Source organism: Homo sapiens, chromosome 4 (assembly GCF_000001405.40).
Source record: "Homo sapiens chromosome 4, GRCh38.p14 Primary Assembly".
NCBI lineage: Eukaryota > Metazoa > Chordata > Mammalia > Primates > Hominidae > Homo > Homo sapiens.
Window position 1 is genome coordinate 171183415 of NC_000004.12, and position 3402 is coordinate 171186816.

At 35.9% G+C, this 3402-nt stretch overlaps 1 non-coding gene across 1 annotated transcript; it reads left to right on the forward strand.

Annotated features, from left to right (window-relative positions):
• Positions 1-2769: 2769 nt before the first annotated feature.
• On the forward strand, positions 2770-2878 carry MIR6082 (microRNA 6082). The gene has a single exon (NR_106730.1). It is a non-coding gene; the product is annotated as a microRNA 6082 (primary transcript).
• The last annotated feature ends 524 nt before the right edge of the window (positions 2879-3402 follow it).

Sequence of the window (3402 nt, forward strand, 5' to 3'; positions counted from 1 at the left end):
CTTATCCTGAGGTTATGGTATGCACAACTCAGATTTTCAGGCGAAATAACTTAAAACTCTGTTACCAGGTTTCTATGACAAATAGATTAGTATTTTTCACACTATATGTCAGTTAAGATTACAGCAATATATTTCATCATTTCCCAACAGAAGCAAATTTTTCCATATTAGCAATGACGGGAGTGTGAACAGAGACTTTTTTTCAGCTAATCCTATATTCTATCTGGTTTGTGGACATATCTATATTCCAGATAGCATTGTATAGGTTTTTCATGGACACCAGCTTCTGTGTCATCATAATTATGTAACACTGTCCATCTATCCCCCAAGAAATTACACTGAGTGGTTCCCTTTTCCTTCATTTCTATCCTCTTGCACAACAAGTTCCAGGATATAGGTAATAGCATAAAATAAAAAGAAGATGCAAATCATTCCAACTTGAGGTGTTTGAGTCATTGGAAAACAATGAAAGCCATAGTATTCGTGATGACTTACCAAAACCTAAGGTTACCAAAGTTTCCCCGTAGGTATATGTCTTTGACTTGGCTCTGTAAGGCCCTTTACCAGAAAGCTTTCCAAAAAAAATCAAATTTCATTGTGATTTGAATATCTAATAGTTATCCCTGGGGGAGGTTAGGACTACTCCCAGAATAGTTCAGAAGTGAAAATACAATCATTATTGATCATTCTATTCTATTAAAATGGTGTTATCTTTCTATTGTGAGAGCCGCTTCTAATTCCCTTTAGTTTAAAAAGTTTTCCCTTCAAAAAGCCTCTAGTAATATTTTTTAGCCTCATTTAGTATAGCATGACTAACTCCTAACGTCTTCACTAAACTCTTGCTATCTCCTGGGCAGCTGCTGAACAAGTTACCTCATATTCTGTTTCATTGTACATTTAAACAACCGTACAATTTAGGAAAATGATCTGAACATCCAAACATTGGATATCTAACAACTGTCAATGGTTTTTTTTCTACCTCCAAATATAGCTTCAGCTGGGTATACTAAAAGGCTTCCCATAAAAGTTTTTTTTTTTTTTTGTCTGCTTCTGGAGGGAAAATATCTATCCTGTCAGATCTCACAATCACATCCATGCCTAACATCTTTGAAGTTATTCAGGTTCCATTTCGATTTTATTTAGATGAAATCCATGAAATTCACTTTTAACTTAATCAAACGATCATACAAATTGGGACATACTCAACAGGCAGCCACAGTTTGCTTTATATCACACCCAGGCAGCTGTTTGAATCATATATTGTCTTGATTTATGATCTCAAGGATGACAGAAGATCAACTCCACAGCATCTTTCACTTTATCCCATTGACTTGACCTTGAGTCATCAGAGTGTGCTACATACCGTCTTTTCCTCAGATTCACCAGGTAGAATTTCTACTGAAGATCAGTAGAAATCCAATCTCCTTTCTCCAGAGGTAACCAGTTTAGGATTTCTCTCAGCACTGGCTATTACTCAGTACCAGATCTAAGAAAGAGCACTGAGTTTATTCTCTTGCTCTGCAAGGCTAATATGGGGAATTATGTAACTACATCCTTCCTTGGGATTAGATTAACTTGTGACTGTCTTTGCCATCTACATGTCTTCTCCCCTTTTTCCACATTTATTACCTGTTTTGACCCAGACTTTTTCCCCATAATTGGAGTTTCTATTTCAGCATAGGTGCTACATATCTGGTAAAATAACAAAAACAAACAACAACAACAAAAAAGAAATAACAAAACAGGCAGTGTTATTTGGCAATGGAGCTGCCTTGATGCTTCAAGGCAGTAAAGATACTGCTCACCTACAAAATGCCTTTAGGAATACGAACAAGCAACTTCGAAGTAATCAATATTGTGTCTTGAGTATTGATTTCAGCTTTTCTGATAAAGGTAAGTTTAACCTTGAGCATAGAACACTGTACCAAACAAAAAATTGTTATATGTGTAGGATGCACAGTTTAGGAATTAGATCTCCATTTGTCACTTTCTGTTCAAAACACGCTTCCATTGTGAAACAAAGATTTTAATTATTCATTCTAATTTTCAATGAGGCTTCTGCTCTGAGATTGTTAAGTAAAATTTGTGTAATATTGTTTCCCTGTTTTTTTTCTATTTTCTACTTTCAAAACAGTGAAATGCATACTGTACCGTGATTCAGAGAAAAATATCCAGATGGGCTAAATTGATAGCTAATTCTTTATTTGAAATATTTACTTGTTTTCATGGTGTTGCTCCAGACAACATGAGTGAACTCTACAGGAAAATAGAGTTTGATCCCAATTAATACTCACATATCATATTTTCTGCCTACTGATAGAGGTCTATAGTCATCCATTAATACAATCTGGTTTGACCAACACCCAGTAAGACTCTAGCCATGTTTTACTTTTGGCTTTTAACAGCAGCTTCCTCAGGCATTTTTGGAGTAAAAATACTAAGAGGTATTCACTGAGCATCCCATTTCAATATATACCACAGATGCTGGTCTGCAATGTTGCAGTTGCAGATATTTCTAATGTCAACTAAACAATTGAATCATAAAGTTTTATGTAGACTGTGCCACTAATCTCCACCAGTCTTTTAATGATTATTTTTCTTTAGGACCTCTCTTAAATTCAGATATTTTTTCTATTGATTTTGTGAACAGGGCTTGGAAGGATTCTTAAATAAAAAATATTATCTTTTCAAAACCTGGAAAATGGGTAGTCTCTGAGCTTCATGTTGATTGGCAGAATCTGTGCAAGAGAACAATGTAATTCTCACAATTTGAAGAATACGTCTGGTTGATCCAGTCCACTTAATTCTGAGAAAGTCCACAGACTGGATCGGGTCTTGGATTTTAGCTGGATTCATTGACTGGGCTATATTTGTCATATGGACAACTACAGTCCTTAACTCTTCCTGAGCTGAGCAGACCCTGTCATAAATGGGTTTCTGTTCCACATGAATGAAAATTGTGCTTGACTGTCCTCCTGCATTAGAATGGAAGATAAGTTATTATCCAGGTTTTCAAGGGCATGCCAGTTCCCCTTCACCTATTGTTGCTTCATAGGCTCTACTGCATCAAATACAACAGAAGCAATCAGAGGAACCGTATTGTTTAATCTTTAATAGTCTATCAAATCCCAGGAAACATGTTCCTTGTGCATTGGCCAGAAGGAGTTATTTATATGGGAAGTTAGTGAAACCCCTGTTTCACCCATTCCCTTAAACGGAGCAGTGATCTCTTGTTATTCTCTTGAAATTCTGTTGTGCTTAATATTTACTTCTTTAGAGGGCACTGGTAATTTTCACCTAACATGTCTAGTTAAAACTGGAAGACAAGTTTATGTAATCATCCCATGACATGAATTGGTCAATTGAATTTGAGTAAATTCTCTGCACACTACCCCAGAGCAG